At 38.4% G+C, this 21,966-nt stretch overlaps 1 protein-coding gene, 1 non-coding gene and 1 pseudogene across 5 annotated transcripts in view; 1 reads left to right on the top strand and 2 right to left on the bottom strand.

The window, feature by feature from the left end:
• PRCP (prolylcarboxypeptidase) overlaps positions 1-21,949 on the top strand; it is a 78,709-nt gene extending 56,760 nt beyond the window's left edge. For all 4 annotated transcript variants that reach the window (NM_001319214.2, XM_005274093.2, NM_005040.4 and 1 more), the window contains 3 exons: positions 5,460-5,624; positions 6,311-6,498; positions 19,763-21,949. In NM_001319214.2, the coding sequence (NP_001306143.1) occupies positions 5,460-5,624; positions 6,311-6,498; positions 19,763-19,979 (570 nt within the window). In that variant the 3' untranslated portion in view covers positions 19,980-21,949. The remainder of the gene's footprint in view (positions 1-5,459; positions 5,625-6,310; positions 6,499-19,762) is intronic.
• Positions 900-1,000, bottom strand: LOC124902840 (small nucleolar RNA U13). The gene has a single exon (XR_007063023.1). It is a non-coding gene; the product is annotated as a small nucleolar RNA U13 (small nucleolar RNA).
• On the bottom strand, positions 7,443-9,473 carry EIF2S2P6 (eukaryotic translation initiation factor 2 subunit 2 beta pseudogene 6; annotated as a pseudogene).
• Positions 21,950-21,966: the final 17 nt, after the last annotated feature.

Raw genomic sequence — 21,966 nt, 5'->3', positions numbered from 1 at the left:
ATTTAAGCATTGTTTGTGTTGTTATTTTTCTTTTAGCTTTTAGTTGAATACATGCAATATAGTTACAGTGGTTGGAAGCTCCAGAGAGTCTGCATTTGTGTTTTTTTCTTTTCTTTTCTTTCTTTCTTTCTTTCTTTTTTTTTTTTTTTTTTGAGACGGAGCCTCGCTCTGTCTCCCAGGCTGGAGTGCAATGGCATGATCTCGGCTCACTGCAACCTCTGCCTCCCGGGTTCAAGCGATTCTCCTGCCTTAGCCTCCCAAGTAGCTGGGATCACAGGCACCCACCACTGTGCCTGATTTTTGTATTTTTAGTAGAGACGGGGTTTCACCATGTTGGCCAGGCTGGTTTCGAACTCCTGATCTCAGGTGATCCACCCGCCTCAGCCTCCCAAAGTGCTGGGATTACAGGCGTGAGCCACCGCGCCCGGCCTCTTTCTTTCTTTCTTTTATTTATTTTTTTAAGAGAGAAGGTCTCATTCTGTTACCCAGGCTGGAGTGCAATGGCATGATTTTAGCTCACTGCAGCCTTGAACTCCTGGGCTCAAGGGATCCTCCTGCTTAAGCCTCCTGAGTAACTGGGATTACTAGAGTCTGTATTTGAATCCCAGTTCTGCCACTTCCTTGCTGTGTGGTTTTGGGCAAGTTTCTTAACCTCTCTGTGCTGTAGTTTCCTCATTTGCAAAATGTGTATAATAACAATTGTAATGCTTATTAGGGTTGTTATGAGTATTTCATAGCATCTGGTATAAAGTAAAAGCACTAAATTGATGCTAGTTATAAATAATAATAGCTATTATTATTATGTAATATTGGGAAACCAGATGATTATACCAGGACTTTGTGGTTGACGTCTGGGTTGAGACCTATATTCATAGTGCTTTTTTTTTTTTTTTTTCCCACATCAGACAGGTAATGTGCTGATAGCATAACCAGGTTTGAGGGTGGTCCATTTCACACGTGAGCATGAAAACCCAATCATACGCTTCTTGCATTCATGGTTTTTAAATTGTGTATCTGTAGCCAGACCTCTGAGCTTGTTTTCTCTTCTGTGAAATGGGAATGATCATTATATGGTGCTCTCTTGGTTATTGTGAGGAAAGAACCTGCCCTGCCATCAAAGAATATTCAGTAGTTGTACTAGCAACCTCAGTCCCAGCTATTCACATTTCAGCGCATTTACAGTATGTGTAGGAATGACACGCCTTATGTAGAAATTGTTTAGAAGAAGCCGTTTGCTAGGGCTCACAAAATAAATAGAAAGTAAGTTCAGGGATACCTGGGTGTTGAGTATTTTGGACAGAGATGGTTGTCTGATTATATCACAGCCTCTATGTAAACAATCAACAGGCCAAGTGCTTGCTTTTGTCACGTCAGTAATATCTGCACATTATCAGGGTTAAGCTAAAGTATTATATGAGGTTAAGACAAAATTGTTGATATTTGACTGTTTTTGACTTATAAATGTGAGAATTTCATATGGTTCAATTTAATATTTATGTATTTTATGCATCCTACAGTTATTTGATAAAAGTATGTGAATATCTCCTTTTAAACTACTCGTCTTTTTTTTTTTTTTTAAGAGATGGAGTCTCACTCTGTCACCCAAGCTAGAGTGCAGTGGTGTGATCATAGCACTGGAGCCTGGAACTCCTGACTGAAGCAATCCTCCCACCTCAGCTTCCTGAGTAGCTGAGACTATAGGCACGTGCCATCACACCTGGTTAAGTTTTAATGTTTTGTAAAGATGAGGACTTGATATATTGCCCAGGCTGGTCTTGCACTCCTGGCCTCAAGTGGTCCTACTGCCTGGGCCTCCCAAAGTGCTGGGATTACAGGCATGAACCACTGTGCCTGGCATTGAGTTACTCTAGTCTTTAAATAAGCATAGGAATAGTGCTGAGGTCTGGCTAATATGACTTCAGTATTTTTTTGAAACTTCATTCACTCTGCTACCAAAATTGTTAAGGAAGTGCAAAGAGATATTAGAGATTCTGTTTTTTAATGGTAGAGGATGATGCTTGGACTCACAAAATCTTTGAGTTAGAAAGGAAATTTAGACTTACCTAAAATAAAATTTCCATATTAAATTTGCAAATATTTTGCAAAAAAATTTTAAGTGACATTTTTTCAGGCTTTCTATCTAGCATAGTAGTAGAATTAAAAATCAGCACTTCCTTTCTATAAGGCAGTTTGACAGGATGTACCAAGGGCCTTAAACATGTTGATCTCTTTTGAGCCAGTAATTTAAGAATTTATCCCAAGAAAACAATTAAGAATATAAGAAAGATTTAGCCCCAAGGGTATTTATTGTAGCCTTATTTGTAATGATGAAAGGTGGGGAATGACCCAATTTTAGGGTTGCTTCAGCTGTTTTTCAGCTCCCCATCCCGATTGCTCTCTTCTAGATTTTCTAATGTTGGTCGGTGCCCTTCGTAAGTTGTGTACAAAGCTGGATCCAGTACTCCAAGGGTGATCTGACCTCACAGAGCACAGTGCCTGGGGAGTGCCCTTAATCTGGACTTGGAATTCCATCATACAGAGGCCAAGTCTCTGACCATGATGTTCTCTCTGTGTAACTGGGGCTGCTGAAACCCAAGTATTGTCAGCCAGTGCCGGTCTCCAGCCATGCTTGTGTCTTTTAAGAAGTGACAGTAACTGCTATTTGTGGAGATGGCTATTCATAGGGACTCCTTTTCTTTGCCTGACAGAGGCCCAGTGTTCTAAGCTCTAAGAGGGGCTCTGATGCCAGCATGTGAGTCACACTCACTTGCTACTGTTCTTTTCCAGAGTTTTGGGCCACTTGTTGCTGCACATCACTACCTCCTCTCCCCCTGCCCAGCTTGCATTGTCGCCCTTCCCCATCTACCATGCTGTCCTTGAACATAAGGCGCTTCTCTGCATTCCATGTGTCTACTTTGTAGTTATGTGCTGCATTTTGAAAGAGCTGAATCTATGTCCAGGTTCAGGAAAGAATGCTGATCAACTGTTGGCAATAGATGGTTTAATATATCTTATGATTGTTTCTTGATTTCCATATTGTCTTGAGTTATTTCTTATTGACATATTTCCTAGGAATGTTTTCTGAGAAAAGTGCCATGCAAATGTTAGGTATTTTTTTGACTTACCATGAAAAATCGAGAGTTGCCAAAATAAACACTATTTTGACTTTTAATTAGCTCTCAGTTTAGCTCAATTCTCTCTTCATGTACATCCTAAACCCTGGTATTCCTTATTCTTATGACCTCACAGTTACTTTTGAAAGATATATCCAATTATTTGAACATCTTAATTTCTGACTTTTCTCACATTCAGCAGTTCTGAAAACTTTTGGCAATGATGCACACTCCATCTTCCTTTGGAAAGTCATATTACATTTGAGCATGTTAAAGGTTCTGAGAAATCATCTGAGATTATATAATAATAACAACCAGTCAGGAAAACTGTTCACATTTGCTAATATACAGTTTCTCAAAACTATCTGGCTAGGAAACATTTTTCCACAAAGTACCAATAAACATTCCATGGAAATATTGTGGTGCAGAATATATTTGGGGAGAGGCATTGAATTTTCCTGAAAATTCATTTTCTCTTTTACAGTTTTCCTTTTTTTTTTTTTCCCCCGCTGGCAGCTGGTGCCAGGCAGAACTGTGATGAGGGGCTGGGTTTGGTTGCATCCTTTCTCAGTACCCTCCTTTCCTGACTGGGAGCATGTCCCCAGCCCAGGCCCTGTTATTCCTGCTGCCCAGAATCTCTCTCCCTGAGGTGGGGTGACTGGGCTCCTTTCCTGGCTTCTTCTCTGGACTAGTCTTTTTTTTGTCAGGACTAGTCTATTATATATATAATCTTTTCCGTATGAAATGGAAAAGGACCAGATTACTGAATTCATGTCAGAGTCAATAGAGATTCAAGCTTACTGGGTTTGCCTTGCCACTGGGACTATTTGTAGTTTTACAGGTGGACACTTCCTAAGCTGTGTGTCATAATGGATAAGATGTATATTTCATAACCAGAGACAGCTGGGAACAAATCTAGGCCCTATTATTTACCAACTGAGTGACCTTGAAGATGACTTAACCTAAGAATCAGGTTTTTTTTTTCATGTAAAATAATGGACAATCATCTATCTGATAGGGTTCTTTGAAGATTACATGGTGTATTGGTTGGAAACCCAAGGCTTAATAATTACTAGCTGTTGTTGTTGTTAGTATTATTCAGCTATGATTCCATTGCCTGTTATTTTTCTCCAACATTTTATTATGAAAAGTTTGAAACATATGGAAAAGTTAAAATAATTGGACAATGAACACTCATGAACCTAACATCTAAATTCAATAAATAATATTTTATTATATTTGATTTGTCACATATATATTCACCTATCCATCACTTCATCTATCTTTTAATTTATCCTATTTTAAAATGAATTTTAAAGTAAATTGCAGACATCTTCCTCTTAAATACTTCAGCTTTATTATCATTAACAAGAGTTCAATATTTGTGTATGGTTCTTCTTCTGGTGGTGGAGGGGTGAAATCTAGATACCATGAAATACACAAATTATATCATTTTTCATGTAACCCTATTAAGATATAGAATATTTCTGTACCCAAGAAAGTTTGCACTGGCTCTGTTTAGTCAGTCCTCACCTTTACTCCTAACCCTGAATATTGTCTGATTTTTATAGCTAGGATTCCAGGCATTTTTTATAGGATAGTGATAGGAATATTTGGGAGCTGGGGAGTTGCAGCATATGCTTTTTATCACACGACAGATGCTGGAACTTGGTATAGTTTTTCCATACGAGATTTTATAAATTTTGCATTTTTATAAAAGTATAGTAATTCATTCAGCAAACATTTACTTACCAGATACCTTGCTAAGTACTGAGGGAGACATTCTGAAATCAAGTGAGTGAAGTAGAGCATTACAGGGGCTGTGATAAAAATAGGTACAGGGTATAATGGAGGCACCAAGAAGGGAGAGGTTTAATTCTTCCCAACTTGGAAACATAGGCAAGGATGGCCTTGAAGAGGAGGTAATATTTGAGTTGAGTGTTGTAAAAGATGAGTTGGTGTTCAAAGGCATTAGTGGAGTGGGAGAGGAGTTGGAAAACAGTGTTTCAGGGTGAGAAAGGGCAAAGGGGAAGGAGCCTGGTGTGGTGGGGAATGGTTTTCCTAGGCTGGAGCAAAGGCAGCAAAGAGGAAGCTAAGATGGTAGATGGAGAGGACTTTGCATACCATGCAAATGACTTCGGTTTATTTCTATAGCCTAAGGAGTAATTGAAGAGGTTTATTCATTTATGGAGGGGATTAAACCCAAGAGAGAAATTAAACACTGCAGTTAGTAGCTTAAGAATATTTTATGATCAGATCAAAATCATATTTCTTCTTTGTGTTATTAAACTGTCATTTTATATTCATATTCTGACTCTTTCCCCATTTATCTTTCTAAAATGACAGGTAGTGTGCCAGTATTTGAAAAATCCCAATGTATCTGATTCACTGCTGCTGCAGAATATTTTCCAAGCTCTGAATGTATATTACAATTATTCGGGCCAGGTGAAATGCCTGAATATTTCAGAGACAGCAACTAGCAGTCTGGGAACACTGGGTTGGAGCTATCAGGTAAATATGTATAATTTCCCCAAGTGGAACTTACTTTTCACTGACACAGTTGTGCTGTAAAAAAAAATCAGGGTACACAAGATTTTGTCACCTAACCTGGATCCAGTTTTGGGCTCTGTTACCTTATGCTGTGATACTATGGACAAGTTTTCTTGTTCATTCATTTGTTCATTTAATAATCACCAAATAGATATTGAGTTCTTACATGTGTCAGGCACTCCTCTAGGTTTCAAAGATACAAAGATAAATGGTACATGATCAAATCTAGTGTAGTAAAAAAGTAAGTAAGTAGTATTTCAATAGATCTTGATAAGTCCTACAAAGGAAGCATTTTATAGACATATAAAAGAAAGGGAGTCTAATTTGTCCTTCATCTGCACAATGAGACTAATAATAATAAACTTTCCTTGCAGAGTTGTTTTGAGGGTTAAATGTGATAATAAATGTGAAATCAAGCAGTTTGCTATGAAGGGACATAATCCTGACTTCCGTGACTTCTTGGCCAAGTCTTTTTAAGAATAATGAGAGATTATATGGCGCAGAAGTAAAGAACAGGGCGTTGAAGCTGCCTTGCCTGAGTTCAAACCCTGCCTTCACTACTTACCAGCATTATGACTTTGTGTAATTTATTTAACCTCTTTTTGCCTCATTTTTCTAATTGGATTCTCTCTTGGTTTGCTTCTTAGGCCTGCACAGAAGTAGTCATGCCCTTTTGTACTAATGGTGTCGATGACATGTTTGAACCTCACTCATGGAACTTAAAGGAACTTTCTGATGACTGTTTTCAACAGTGGGGTGTGAGACCAAGGCCCTCCTGGATCACTACTATGTATGGAGGCAAAAACATTAGTTCACACACAAACATTGTTTTCAGGTGAGTTTTTGCTGTCCAAAGATAAACTTCAGTTGGTGGAACATTTGTAGAATATCTGAAAAAACAGAACCAGGGAAATGCTGGACAATATAACAACATAGAATACAACAGTGCTACCTGTCATGTTTTCCTATGCCTTGAAAGATAGGATGCTGAGAAGAGATAGGATTTTTTGCTCTATTACCAATGTGCTTTATGAAAGTCTTAAAAATCAACAGCAACAAAATTTTTTAAATATTAAAAAAACTCTCCAGCACAAAATAAAGCATCATCTGTTGTTCTTAATTTGTCTTATTATTGTTATGTTGTTGTTGATGGTAATAAAAAATTTTCAGTATTCATCACTTTTGAAGTGCCCACTTCATTCTGTTCCAAGTACTAAATGAGGCACTTTAAATAAATTACCTGGTTAAATCCTCACAACAACCCTGTGAAGTAGTTTTTATAGCCCCTTTTTTACTGTGAAGGAAACTGAAGGTCACTGTGTTCAATCACTTGCCAAAGCTCATCCAGCTTTGTTTTAGTTACTAAGTGATAAAGCCAGCTTTCTATCATGGCCTGACTACAAATCCCATGTTTGTTTTTCTACATTACACTGTTCCTTAAGAAGTCACACAGTTGCCACTGGTTCACATTAGAGTTAATTGAGCAGACTCCATGTGTATCTGACTGGGACTTCAAAATTTCCATGTTTTGAGTTGAACATTAGGTTGTCAGCTATTAAAATAGCAACAAGTTAATCAAGAATTTCCCCAAGTCTATATAGAAATAGGAGATGCCACTACATACCTGTTAACCAGAGCTATTTTTAAAATTGTAAATGTCATTCTTTTAGAAGTTCTTTTATTTGTTTTAGTTTTTATTTTTTGAAAAAATCTGTTAAAACTTTATCTTGCATTTTACAGAAGTCTATGAATGATTTTTAAAAGGCATCTCCTTACCCCATGTCGCATTTCTCTGACAGTTGTTAAAGTAGGCAATGGATATATCACCAGCTTGAGCATTGCCATCTTGCAAGGATTTCAGACCAACCAACTACTCACCAAAGAACTTGGCAGCTTTTTAATCTCGTTTTTAATACAATGGTAGATCCACTCTGATGGCAAACTTATCCAGCCAAATCTCCACAACACAATTTGCAAAATTAGTGATTAGCAAATTGGTTAGCTTTGGCATGGAGCTGTGCTTATTTGCCCGTGACAGCCTGGTGTTGATACTGGCAACAGAACATTGAGAAGGACAACTTTCACACTGTAAGAAATAGAGTCGGATGCCCTTCTGCAGGATTGTGTCTGGTGATTGGCATGTGTGACATCACCTTGACAATTCCTTGATGTATCAAGGGCTAGTTTCCTCCAGCCCTTTTATGAGGCACTACTCTGTTCATAAGGGTGGAGCCCCATAACTTAAATGACATATTCCTTGATATATCTCCTCAAGACATTTTCTGTTTCTATGGGAATCTTCCTTTGATTACAAGTTGGTTATTACCGTCTGTAGAACCACTTGTACCCAATTCAGCCAACAAAAATGCAAGGAGGCTGGATGCAGTGGCTCACTCCTGTAATCCCAGCACTTTGGGAGGCCAGGGCAAATGGCTTGCTTGAGCCCAGGAGTTTGAGACCATTCTGGGAAACATGGTGAAACCCCATCTCTACAAAATATATAAAAATTAGTTGGCATGGTGGCATGTACCTGCAGTCTCAGCTACTCAGGAGGCTGAGGTGGCAGGACGGCTTGAGCCCAGGAGGTGGAGGTTATAGTGAGCTGAGATTGCACCACTACACTCTAGCCTGGGCAATAGAGCCAGATCTTGTCTCAAAAAACAAACAAACAAAAACTCCCCAAAAACCATAAAAACAAAACAAAAAAAAATGAAAGAAATGCAAGGAGACATTTGGGCTGTTGATGTAATAGTTTACAGATATCCATAAAGTTGATGAAAGGAGTTTTCTTGGTTCCTACTTGGACGACCTGTAGAGGTTTCATGGTGAATTTCCTTTTCTTTCAAGCAACTGTGTCTGGATTCTTTCCCCTTATAATGTTGAACATATGATCCAGTAGCTCCTTATATGTGCAGTCTCTTTCTGACCTACCTATCAGGGCCTATCTGATTGCTGAATGAGACAGCATCGTCTTTTTTGCTGTCTTCATCTTCTAGAGCTGTGTCTTTTTTTTTTTTTTTTTTTTCCTCGAGATGGAGTCTCACTCTGTCACCCAGGCTGGAGTGCAGTGGCACAATCTCTGCTCACTGCAACCTCCGCCTCCTGGGTTCACACCATTCTCCTGCCTCAGCCTCCCAAGTAGCTGGGACTACAGGCTCCCACCACCACGCCCAGCTAATTTTTTGTATTTTTAGCAGAGATGGGGTTTCAACCATGTTAGCCAGGATGGTCTTGATTTCCTGACCTTGTGATCCACCTGACTCGGCCTCCCAAATTGCTGGGACTACAGGCATGAGCCACCACGCCCGGCTAGAGCTGTGTCTTTAGTATTCCATCCTCATCTGGGATCTTGACATTCTTCTTTTTATTGCCAAGCATAATGTCAAGGTCCTCCTCTGGTTCATCTGGTTCTTGAACATCACTTTCAATCTTAAGATCCTTTACAACTTCTTCAGCTTTATCAGCATCAAATGTCTTTTTTTTCTCCTTTTTCTTCTGATTAAAGAAGTTCAAGTCATCTAGAACATCAGAAATGTCTTTTTTCCTACCGTCGTCTTCATCAGCTTCTACATCGTTGTCCTCAGCTGGTTCTGGTTCCACTTCTTCGGCTGGTTTTTCTCTGTTTGTGTATCCCCTTCCTCATCTAACATAAAGGGATTCTTCTTTTTCTTCTTGCTCATAGTAGGACCAAAAACTGTCTCATCCCCGGACGTGGCTGTGGCTCAAGTGGGCTTAGCACATGGGAACTCGGACAGCCCAGCCCCAGGCCCCTGGCAGCATTGCTGCTCCTGCAAGTACCTCTCTGACCACTGTGCTCTACAGATTATTTTAAATAAGTCAAATTTGGCCTTTGGTACATAGCCAAAAGCTTTTAGGGATGAGGAGAGCTGTTTGCCTGGAAGTTGACTCTGAGTTTAGGCTAGTGGCACTGCCCACTTTGCAAAAAAAGGCCTCTTATTAGACTCTTATTAGACTTATTAGACTCATTCTATTTTCTTTTTTAATTTTTAATTTTAATTTTTAAATTCTGGGGTACATGTGTAGGATGTGCAGGTTTGTTACATAGGTAAACGTGCACCATGGTGGTTTGCTGCACCTATCAACCCATCACCTAGATGTTAAATCCAGCACGCATTAGCTGTTTTTCTTTTTCTTTTGAGATAGAGTTTTGCTCTTGTCGCCCAGGCTGAAGTGCAATGGCATGATCTTGGCTCACTGCAACCTCTGTCTCCTGGATTCAAGCCATTCTCTTGCCTCAGCTTCCCAAGTAGCTGGGACTACAGCTCACCTGGCTAATTTTTGCATTTTTAGTAGAGATGGGGTTTCACCACGCTGGCCAGGCTGGTCCCAAACTCCTGACCTCAGGTGATCCGCCTGCCTCGGCCTCCCAAAGTGCTGGGATTACAGGCATGAGCCACTGTGCCTGGCCTTAGCTGTTTTTCTTAATGCTCTCTTTCCCCCTACTCCACCCACTGACAGGCCCCAGTGTGTGTTGTTCCCCTCCCTGTATCCATGTGTTCTCATTGTTCAGCTCCCACTTATAAATGAGAACATGCAGTGTTTGGTTTTCTGTTCCTGCATTAGTTTGCTGAGGATAATGGCTTCCAGCTCCATCCATGTCCCTACAAAGGACATGATCTCATTCCTTTTTATGGCTGCATAGTATTCCATCCAGCAGGATACCTGTCCCCAAATAAAAGGCCAGACACTTTAATGGAAAACGTAAAACTGCTTTTTGTTTAATTTCCTTACGTTGTATTCCTTGTTCTCAACAGGATTCTTCAAAACTATACTCTTCAGCTCAGTCTTATAAAGTGACAGTTAAGCAAATACGTCTGCTTAGGATGTTTAAGGAAATTGTGCCAAATTTATGGTATTTGAAATAGGAAAACTTGAAAGAACTGAGAGGGTTGAAAAAGACCTAAATATAAGCCTTTGGGTTTGTCTTAGTCCACTAGCACTGCTATAGCAAAACACCTGAGACTGGGTAATATATAAACAGCACAAATGTATCGCTCACAGTTACGGAGGCTGGGAAGCCCAAGATGAGGATGCTGGCAGGTTTGGTGTCTGGTGACGGCCCAGTCTCTGCTTTCAAGATGGCACCTTAAGGCAGCACCCTTACATGGCTGGAGGTGGAAGGGCAAGAAGCTCGTTTCCTCCAGTCCTTTTACAAGTATATTAGTTATCCATTTGCTTTTTTATGTTATCTTTCTCAGATTGTCAAAGCGATGATGATGATCATCATCATCATTACTATTATCATCATCATTGGAGAAGGGGGCATATTTTGTGAGAAAAGTAAGTGGGTAGGAATTAGAGCTCCATGTAAGAAACTTTTAGCTCAGTGTAAGAAAGGACTTTCAAGAAGAGCTATACAAAGGTAGAATGAGCTGTCTTGAGTAAAATTACTTAAGCTTTTTTGATTCTCAGTCTTATCCTTTGTGAAGTGAGAATAATAATACCACTCACCCCATAAAGTTGTTGTGATGCATTAAAAGAGTTAGCCCATCAAAGTACTTGGCCCAGATCTGGCAAATATCTATGCTCAAAAAATATTTGTTGAATGAATAAATGAAAGTACACTCTTCACCTTGCCCTTTATGTTCTAGCCACAGAACATAAAGGGAGTATATACCCAGGAATGGGATTGCTGGGTCAAATGGCTCTAGATCCTGGAGGAATTGCCACACTATCTTCCACAATGATTGAACTAATTTACACTCCCACCAACAGTGTAAAAATGTTCCTATTTCCTCACACCCTCTCCAGTATCTGTTGTTTCCTGACTTTTTAATAATCGCCATTCTAACTGGCATGAAATGGTCCCTGAATGTCCTTTCTCATCCTCTTTTTCCATTTTCCTTAAGATTCATACCTTCTCCAAGAAATATTCCATAAGGGAGGATAGGTTTCCACTTCCCCCTTACTTCTACTAGCACCTGTAAATACCGCTTATCACTCCATGTGGTAGTTACCTGTTTGCGTTTCTATCTGCCCCATGAGATTGTGAATTTATCACTGGCAGGGACTTCATCTTAATCATCTCTGTATCTTTAGCATCTGCTACAGTGACTGGCGCATAATGAATGCTCAGTAAATGTGCCGGTTGTTGATAAGGATGATGAATGAAATACACAGCTCAGGAAGGCTTCAGAAGCATGTGAAAATTTAAAGGCAAGACTGTGTAAAGATGCTGGTTTATCTTTTAGCAGTGGCAAGTCTACTTCTACAAAGAAATCTTTTTCTATAGTTTGGTAGGTATGAGAAATACAATGCAAAAATTAAGTAATTAAAAAATTCAAAATTCTCCTACTTTTCTGAAGAAACAGCACTCCCAAAGTAAAAGAACAGCCATAGGTGTGTCTGTTCTGTGTACTTCATGACCACTAGCTGTGAAACATTTCTGGTTGCTGAGTAAGAAGGTGTCCAAGCATAGACATGGGCAAAGACTTCATGACTAAAACACCAAAAGCAATGGCAACAAAAGCCAAAATTGACAAATGGGATCTAATTAAACTAAAGACTTCTGCACAGCAAAATAAATTATCATCAGAGTGAACAGGCAACCTACAGAATAGGAGAAAATTTTTGCAATCTGTCCATCTAACAAAGGGCTAATATCTAGAATCTACAAGGAACTTAAACAAATGTACAAGAGAAAAACAAATAACCCCATCAGAAAGTGGGCAAAGGATATGAACAGACACTTCTCAAAAGAAGATATTTATGCGGCCAACAAACTTATGAAAAAAAGCTCATCATCACTGATCATTAGAGAAATGCAACTCAAAACCACAATGAGACACCATTTCACGCCAGTTAGAATGGCGATTATTAAAAAGTCAGGAAACAACAGATACTGGAGAGGGTGTGGGGAAATAGGAAGATTTTTATACTGTTGGTGGGAGTGTAAATTAGTTCAACTATTGTGGAAGACTGTGGCAATTCCTCCAGGATCTAGAGCCATTTGACCCAGCAATCCCATTCCTAGGTATATATTCAAAGGATTAAAAATCATTCTAAAAAGACACATGCACATGTATGTTTATTGCAGCACTATTCACAATAGCAGAGACTTGGAACTAACCCAAATACCCATCAATGATTGACTAGATAAAGAAAATGTGACACATATACACCATGGAATACTATGTAGCCATAAAAAGGATGAGTTCATGTCCTTTGCATGGCCATGGATGAAGCTGGAAACCATCATTCTCAGCAAACTAACACAGGAACAGAAAATCAGACACCATATGTTCTCACTCATAAGTGTGAGTTGAACAATGAGAACACATGGACTCAGGGAGGGGAACATAACACACTGGGGCCTGTCGGGGGGTGAGGGTTGGGGAGGGATAGCATTAGGAGAAATACCTAATGTAGATGACAGGTTGATGCCTGCAGCAAACCACCATGACATGTGTATACCTATGTAACAAACTTGCACATTCTGCACATGTATCTCAGAACTTAAAGTATAATTAAAAAAAAAAAGAAAGTGTCCAAGGAGCCCTGTGGAAAGTATCTTAATCTTTGTTTCCAGGCCTCTCCTTAGGCTGCCTCACATGAATCCAAGTGTGATTGCTTTTCCGGTTGGGAAGTTTAATCTTTAACTGTTGGATTGGAGATTTTTCTGTTAAGGCTTTGAAGTCAGGTAGACCTTGATGCCATTTTTCTTCTTCCCTGAATTAGCTGCGTGGCCTTGGGCAAATTGCCAATTCATATTAGTTAGGAATAATAATGAGTACCTAACAGGGTTATTTCAAGGAACAAATTATTGTGGAAGTAAGCAACAGAGATTTTGTCTGTTTTGTTGACTGTGGAGTCCCGTGCCCAATCAGTGCCTGATATATAATAGGCAATCAGTAAACATTTGTTTACCTGTTAATAGTCTCATTACAGCAATTCTTTTTTTATTCCACAGTTGCTTTTTGGGGGGAGTTTTATTGTCTTTCCCAACTTGTAGGCATTATTTTACCAATAGTCATTTTCAGTTATTTTAGTATAAATCCAAAAGGGAGTCCCTGAGGAGCTGGTTAGTTTAACATAATTTCTCAGGCAAATTAATTGTTGCCAGTGACTAAGTGAAGCTCCCTGTTGGGGGAATTTTACCCAGGCATCTAGATCCTCTCATGAAAGCCAGGATTTTTTTTTTTTTTTTTTTTTTTTTTTGTAGATTTTCCAATGACTGGTTTAGCTTTCACATGTCTAGGACCAAGAAATTCAAGTCCATGTGCATCTTAGGTCTCTCAGCAACTCCAAACACTGTTGCTAAGCCACTAGGCTATTTCAGATGACCTTTTAAATCAAATGCAGTTTGCTTATTATGTGGCTGTTGGGATAGCTTCTTTGTTTTGCAAATAATGGAGAGTTTCCTATCTGGGTTGGGCTTGTCAATTTGGAATAATGATAAAGGCGATTTGTTAATTTAAGAGAATCCAACTCCTTATGTAGTTTACTTTAAAAGTTTACCTGGTAGTTGAAAACTAAGGCTTCTATTTTACATGAGTGTTCCTTTTTGTTTTTAACAAAACCAAAAAAGTACACTTCTGGAGTGTAGTTTTTTTTTTTTTTTTTTTTTTTTTTTTGAGATGGAGTCTTGCTCTGTCACCCAGGCTGGATTGCAGTGGCATGATCTGGGCTCACTGCAACCTCTGCCTCCCGGGTTCAAGCCATTCTCCTGCCTTAGCCTCCCAAGTAGCTGGGACTACATGCATGCCCCACCACGCCCGGCTAATTGTTGTATTTTTAGTAGAGGCAGGGTTTCACCATATTGGGCAGGCTGGTCTCGAACTCCTTACCTCAAGTGACCCATCCACCTCGGCCTCCCAAAGTGCTGGGATTATAGGTGTGAGCCACCGTGCCTGGCCAGCGCAGGCAATTTTAGATTGTATTACAAACACACATATACTTAATGTACCTAAATGTTTTTTTCTCATATAATTTGTACATTTACATTTTCATGATTCATTTACCTCTTGGTGGTGGTAATACTTATTATGCTTACAGAGTATGGTAATAACTATAATGACATCGCACATTTGTATAGTATTTATAGTTTATTTATTTTCACATATATTATTTGACTTGGGTCTCACAGTAGTTCTCTGAGAGAAGGGTACTATCTTTCTTAAAAAACATTTTTTTCTATAATCCAGTGAGAATTGAGGTTCACAGGGGTCAGTAACTTACCCAAAGTCATTCAGCTAGTAAAAATGTACAACGTAGATCTACTGAATTAATTCATTGTTCTTTCCACTATTAACACACAGCTGAAGGTTAATCTCTTTATATTTCTATTAATCATTTATATCAACTTTTCTTTCCCACGTAAAAAGTACCAAAGTGATTTACAACATGTTTATGAACTTGCATACGTGTATTTATAGATGTCTATGATGGGCATCCAGTATGAGGCCACAGACAACTAGACACTTTTTAAGTTCATTCAGTAAATTTTTTGGGCCTCCTTTTCTAAGCCAGGTCTGCTTCTAGGAACTTGGAGATGTAGAAATAAACAATATGGACAAAAATCTCGGCTCTCATGGAGTTCTAATTTGAGAGATAGGAAATGAAACAAGATAGAACTTATAAATATGTTAGAAGGATGTGAGTGACAAGGAGAAAAAAGTAAACCGGGGAAGGGGACTATAAAATGTCATAGGGAGGGAAAACAGTTGAAATTTTTTATTAGAGTGACCAGGGAAGACTTCATCAAGGGGTGACTTTTAAAAAATGATATAGAGGAAGTAAAGGAGCTAGCCATGAGGTTGGTGGGGTAAGAGGATTAACCAAAGGCAAAGGCCTTGAAAGAGCCCCAGCATGTTCTTCTTCACGTGGAGTAAGGTCAGTGTGGCTGGAGTGGAGTTAGTAAGTGAGAGAGTAATAGAAGGTGAAATCAGGGAGGGAGCAGAGGGCCTGAATCATGTAGAAACTTGTTGGTTCTAGTAAGGACTTAGGTTTTTACTGTGAATGAGATGGGAAAACTTGGAGCATTTTGAGAAAAGGAATGACATTATCTGGTTCAGGTTTTAACAGGATCAAGTTGCCTGCTCTATTGATATTAAATTGTAGGGAGACAAGAGTAGAGGCAGGAAGATCAGTTAAAAGGCTATTATAGTAACTCAGGCTAGAGATAATGGTGACTTGGATCAGGGTTGTGCAGTGGAGGTAATACAAAATGGTCAGATTATGGATATATTTGAAGATATAGATGACAGGATTTGTTGACAGATTGTGTGTTAAACAATGAGAAAATTAAAGAGTGAGACCAAAAAGATTAAAGAGTGACATCAAACTTTTTGGCCTGAACAATGGAAAGGATAGACTTCCCACTGACAGAGATTGGAGAAGATGGCAGGAGGAGCTGGTTGGCATTTGGGGAGCATCAGGAACTGCCAAGTGTCTAATTTGACTTCCATGTAAAAATGTCAAGTACACCATTGAACTTTGGTTCTGAAGTTTAGGGGAACAATCCTGGCTAGATACATTATTTGGTAGTCATCTGTATATAGGTTGTACTTATAGCTGAGAAATTTTTTGATGATTTTGCAAATTATGGGAATTATTTTCATGTATTTGATAATGTGGGCTTGAAGACTTTTTATTTCAGGCTTTGTAACCAATACCAGCAAAATGGAGTTTGCATTAAACAAATATCAGGACACACATAAAATGTTCTAGAAGTGATTTCAAGTGGTGGGTATAGATATGCCGAGAGGTACCATTCAAGGGGAAAGTGATCTAATACATGCCATGGGTGGAATACTCAGATCCAGGTATTTCAGTGACAGTTTTTTTCCTAAGGAATCTGTTTCAATGAGATTAGGTAGATGAGAGGCAGACCTGGGACTGGAACCAAAGTGTGTCTGATCCCAAAGCTTATGCTTTTCTTACTTTGCAGCACACAAGAGAGTGTAAGCTGTCGACTTCCAACAGCAGTCATGGTTCCGCTGAAATGCAACATAGTGTAAAATTAAGCATTGGACTAGGGTTTTTAGAACTGTGTTTGAATCTCAGATTTGCCAAATCAAATGATTTTGGCAAGCCTTTTAACCTCTTTGGGCATTAGTTTTCTCTTTTATAAAAGAATTGTAATTAAACCTACTTCATAGGGTTGTTACAATGAACAAATGTGAAAGGCTTTGTAAACACGAATGCAATCTATGCATAATATGTTATACTAGGGAAAAATTTGATTTAAATAGCATCAAGAATAAAATGCTTTGGAATAAATTTAACAAAAGAAGTGCAAGATATATACATTGGAAACAAAGACATTAAAAATTGCTTCCTTTAAATGGAAAGACATCTCATATTTATGTATTAGAAGAATTAATACTATTAAGATGACTATACTCCTCAAGTTGATCCACAGATTCAACGTGATCTCTGTCAAATTTCCAGCTGGACTTTTTTTTAAAAAAATAGAAATTGACAAACTGATCCTGAAATTCATATAGGAATATATGGGACCCAGAATAGCCAAAACAATCTTGAAAAGGAAGAACGAACTTGAAGAACTCACACTTCCTGATTTCAAACTTATTACAAAGCTACAGTCAATACAGTGTGATACTGGCATAAGGATAGACATATAGACAAGTGGAAGAGAATCGAGTGTCCAGAAGTCAAACCTTATATGTATGGCATATTGATTTTTAACAAAAGTGGCAAGACAATTCATTGAGAAAAGAATAGTTTTTTCAACAAATGATGCTGGGAAAACTGGAGATCCGCATGCAGAAGAATGAGGTTGGCTCCCTATTTCATACTATAACAAAAAAATCAACTCAGAATAGGTCAAAGGCTTAAATATAAGAGCTAAAATGATAAATCTCATAGAGGAAAACATAGGAACAAATCTTCATGACCGTGGGTTAGACACCAGTTTCTTGGATACCATACCATAAACATAAACAATGAGAAAAAATAGATAAATCGACTTCATGAAAATGAAAAACTTGTGCTGCAAATGATACTATCAAGAAAGTTAGAAGATAGTCTACAGGATGGGAGAAAATATTTGCAAGTCATATATTTGATAAGGGACTTGTATCTAGAATAGATAAGGCTTTGTAAACAATACCAGCAAAACGGAGTTTGCATTAAACAAATATTAGGACACCCATAAAAATGTTCTATAAGTAATTTCCAGTGGTATGTGGGTAAAGATATGCCAAGAGTGCCATGCAAGGGGAAAATGATCTAATGCTTGCAATGGGCTGAGTACTTAGATCCAGGTATTTCAGTGCCAGTTTTTTGCCTAAGGAATCTGTTTCCATGAGATTAGGCAGATGAGAGGCAGACCTGAAATTGGAACCAAAGTGTGTCTGATCCCAAAGCTCATGCTTTTGTTACTCTACAACACACAAGTTAAGAGAGTGTGAGCTCTCACTCAAAAATAGAAAGATATATAACCCTAGTTAAAAAATGAACAAAGATATGACTAGGCATTTTCCCAAAGAAGATATAAAAATGGCCAATCAGCACATAAGATGTTTAAATACCATCAGTCTCTTGGGAAATGCAAATTAAAACCACAGTGAAATACCATTTAATACTTACTAGCTTAGGATGTCTAAAATAGACAGATAATAATAAGTGTTGAAGATGTAGAGAAAGTGGAACCCTCAAATGTTGCTACTGGGAATATAAAATGGTGTAGTCCCTTTGGAAAGTAGTCTGGTAGCTAATTAATAGGTTGTTACTATATATCCTAGAAATTCCTAAGTATATGCCTAAGAGAAGTGAAATCATGCATCCACACAAAAACTTGTATGTGAATGTTCAAAGGAGCAGTACTCATTAGCCAAAAAGTGGAAACAATACAAACGTGCATCAAATGATGAAGAGATAAATAAAACATGATGTATCCATAAATGAAATATTATTTGGCAATAAAAAGGAACATGTACTGATTCATGCCACAACATGGGTGAAACTTGAAAACATTACGCTGAGTGAAAGAGACCAGTTACAAAAGACCGCCTACTATTTAATTCCATTTGTATGAAATGTCCAGAATAGGCAAATCTATAGATTCAGAAAATAGATTCATGGTTTCCTGAGGCTGAGAGCAAGGCAGGAAGATGGGGAGTGACTGCTAATGAGTATGGGTTTCTATTTGGGGTGACGAAAGTGTTCTAAAATGGATTGTGGTGCTGGTTGCACAACTCTGAGTATACTAAAAACCATCGAATTATGTGTTTTAGATGGACAAATTCTGTGGTAGATGAATTATATCTCAACAAAACTGTTCAGAAATATTATTAGGGATGCTGTCTGTGGTTGTATTGGATTTTTTACTCAGTGAAAGTAGATACTCAGTTTCAGTGACTGATTCTCTTTACATTATTCTGAATTGTGTTGTGTGAACCAGCTGAGACTAAAAACCTAGTAGCATTTCCTTAACTTTAAAGCTAATGTAAAATGAAGATTTTCGTGTAATGCCCAAATTTTCGGATTCCAGATCCTGGTGACATTTTTTAGATCTACCATCCTGTTTCCCAAAGTACTGTACTATATTAGATAAAAAATGCAGCCTTCTCCTTTCCTCCCTCCCTCCCTCCCTTTCTTCTTTCCTCCCTTTCCCCCTTCTTCCCTCCCTCGAGAAGACGGAGTTTCACCATGTTGCCCAGGCTTGTTTTGAACTCCTGGGCTTAAGCGATTCACCATCTTGGCCTCCCAAAGAGCAAAGATTACAGGCATGAGCCACTGCGCCTGGCATGTTATCTCCATTTTACAGATGAGGAAACTGAGTCAGGTAACTTGCATTATATAACTTTTGAATAATGAAATCAGGATTGAAATTCAGGTTTCTAAATTTCATATCCCAGTACAGTCTAGGTTGATTTGTGGGAACGCCTCCTTCAATTATCTCTGGTTCTTTTTTTGCACCTGGTTGCATGAATATTGCAAAACTCCAGTATGAAGTATCTATCCATATGATAAATTAGATCCTCAGATCAAATCCCCCAGGTTACAAGTTTATAATTTTAGGTGTTAAACATGTAATAGGTTTCTTCTAGCTTATCTGAGTGTTAACATGAAAAACTAACAACTTTATTTTTTCTTCTTTTTTTCACTTGCAGCAATGGTGAACTAGACCCCTGGTCAGGAGGTGGAGTAACTAAGGATATCACAGACACTCTGGTTGCAGTCACCATCTCAGAGGGGGCCCACCACTTAGATCTCCGCACCAAGAATGCCTTGGATCCTATGTCTGTGCTGTTAGCCCGCTCCTTGGAAGTTAGACATATGAAGAATTGGATCAGAGATTTCTATGACAGTGCGGGAAAGCAGCACTGAGAAACTTTTGATTGTTTTCAATTTCTTCTTTTATGTTCACACCACCACATTCCCATTCACTTTGATTTTCTACATGTAATTACCTTCTTTTGTTTATCATTAGATTTGATGGGGCCAAAGTTGAGATAGAATAGAGGGTGATGACGGTAAGAGCAAGTGTCCCATGAATGTGATTTCCTGGGTTCTCACTGTCTTTGCACCACGTCTAGGAAGAATCTTCTTGATAGCTCTCCCACACCATCAGTGGCCCTCATAACTGGAGTAGAGTTCCTGGTTGCTTTTCATAAGAGGGAGAGTTACTTTCTTTGTATCTCTGCAAGCAGAGATTTCTCTTTGGTTTTGAGGTTGAAGTGTCTTTGGCCCATTTGTAAGTCCCCATCCCTACCCTACACAAAGTAAAAGCAGAAGATAGATAAAAAATGATGTAATTGCAGCTGGTAGGATGTCTGGTGCCAATCCAGGAAGTGAGAGCCATTTCTTTTGTACCGGATTTAATGACTTTGAACTGTGCTGTAAATAAATAATACAGCTGGACCTTATACCTGTGTGTTGCTTCTGAAGCTCACTTCAACTCCGGCTGATGGAAATGCTGTGTGCACTGGGCTTAGCTGTTTTTGGAAAGTCCTTTAATTTTTTCTCTTCCACTTGGCAGCTTTTCTTAGTTCTGGGATGTTGGCCACTGTGGTACTGCCAGTAAGAAATCTGGCCTTTTTCTGCTCCATTTCTCTTTGTTTCTAAGGTCAGTTTTAATTTGTTTGAATTCTGCCAGTTTAGGAAAATGACTCTGTTTTGTCTTTTTAAATCTGAGCAAGCTTTATGCTGTAGTCACTAATTATATTTCAGTAAGAAGCCTTTAAAAATTGATGAATCAGCTATTCCAAAAGTAGAATATAGTAATATTCAGCTTTTAAATTTTTAAAATTTTATTTTCTGATAGTTGTTACTGCTGTCATTAAAACCAGAAGTGTTAGACACTAACAGGCAGGTGCACAAGAACTTTTCTGTATGACTTCCAAAAGACAAGCTGACTAATTCATGCAGGCAGCATATTTGACATTAATAAATGGCCAAGCCATTCCTATTTCCAAGGGGTTGGCTTCTTTCAAGCAGTTCTTACACTGAGACCTTTCTTCAGAGAGCTTTTCTAGGATAACAAATAGGGTTGGATCAAAACCTTTCAGGGACACAGAGAGACAGAGAGAGAGAGACTAACAGTTTCTACTCTGTTGAAAGATTTCTTCCTCCTTGTTTCTTTTCATTTTCTCTCAATAATTTTTTTTTCTTCACCCTGCCTTGGGAACATTTTCTGCTTTTAAAAAACTGTACCTTGAGCTTGATCATTTTTATGGCATTTTTTTTTTTTAAGGGCATATATAGAGTTCATTCTTGGGATGGAAAGCTGAAATATTTCCTTTACTTTCCCTGGCATCTGGGAGATACAGGAAAATCTTTGTCTTATTTTGGGAGCCTTCAGTTCTCATTGTAATGAGTTGTCTATCAAAGCATTTGGTAACTATTTTGTTTCAGCATCACAGAACAATCGATTTGGGTGGGAATTTAAGGGCCAAAACAATACTAGTTTTTATTCTTTGTCAACTAAGAAATTAAATAATGCAGGGTTTATGGGCTCAATAGAGGATATTCTTACAATTTATTTTACGATTTTAGGGTTTTTCCCTTGTGTAGAATCTTTAAAATACTTTGCCATTTTATTTGATGTTGATTATTTGGATGAGTTACATTATTCTGAAGAAACAAACTGCAAAAAATAGAATTTTTTGGCAAGCATAATTGTATCCTATTACTGTATGCATTTTAGGAATATAGATAGCAGCCTTAATTGAAGTGAGTATAATTATAATATGCTAAGGTTTAATTTTAACATGAAAAAGAATTGGAGTGTCAGATAAGCCTTATTATTTAAAGCATCCCTCTAATAAAACTGCACTTTTTACTGACAGGGAAAGAGAGACATGGAGACTTGAGT

Source organism: Homo sapiens, chromosome 11 (assembly GCF_000001405.40).
Source record: "Homo sapiens chromosome 11, GRCh38.p14 Primary Assembly".
NCBI lineage: Eukaryota > Metazoa > Chordata > Mammalia > Primates > Hominidae > Homo > Homo sapiens.
Note: the sequence above shows the minus strand (reverse complement) of the source record. Positions and strands in the feature narration are given on the sequence as shown.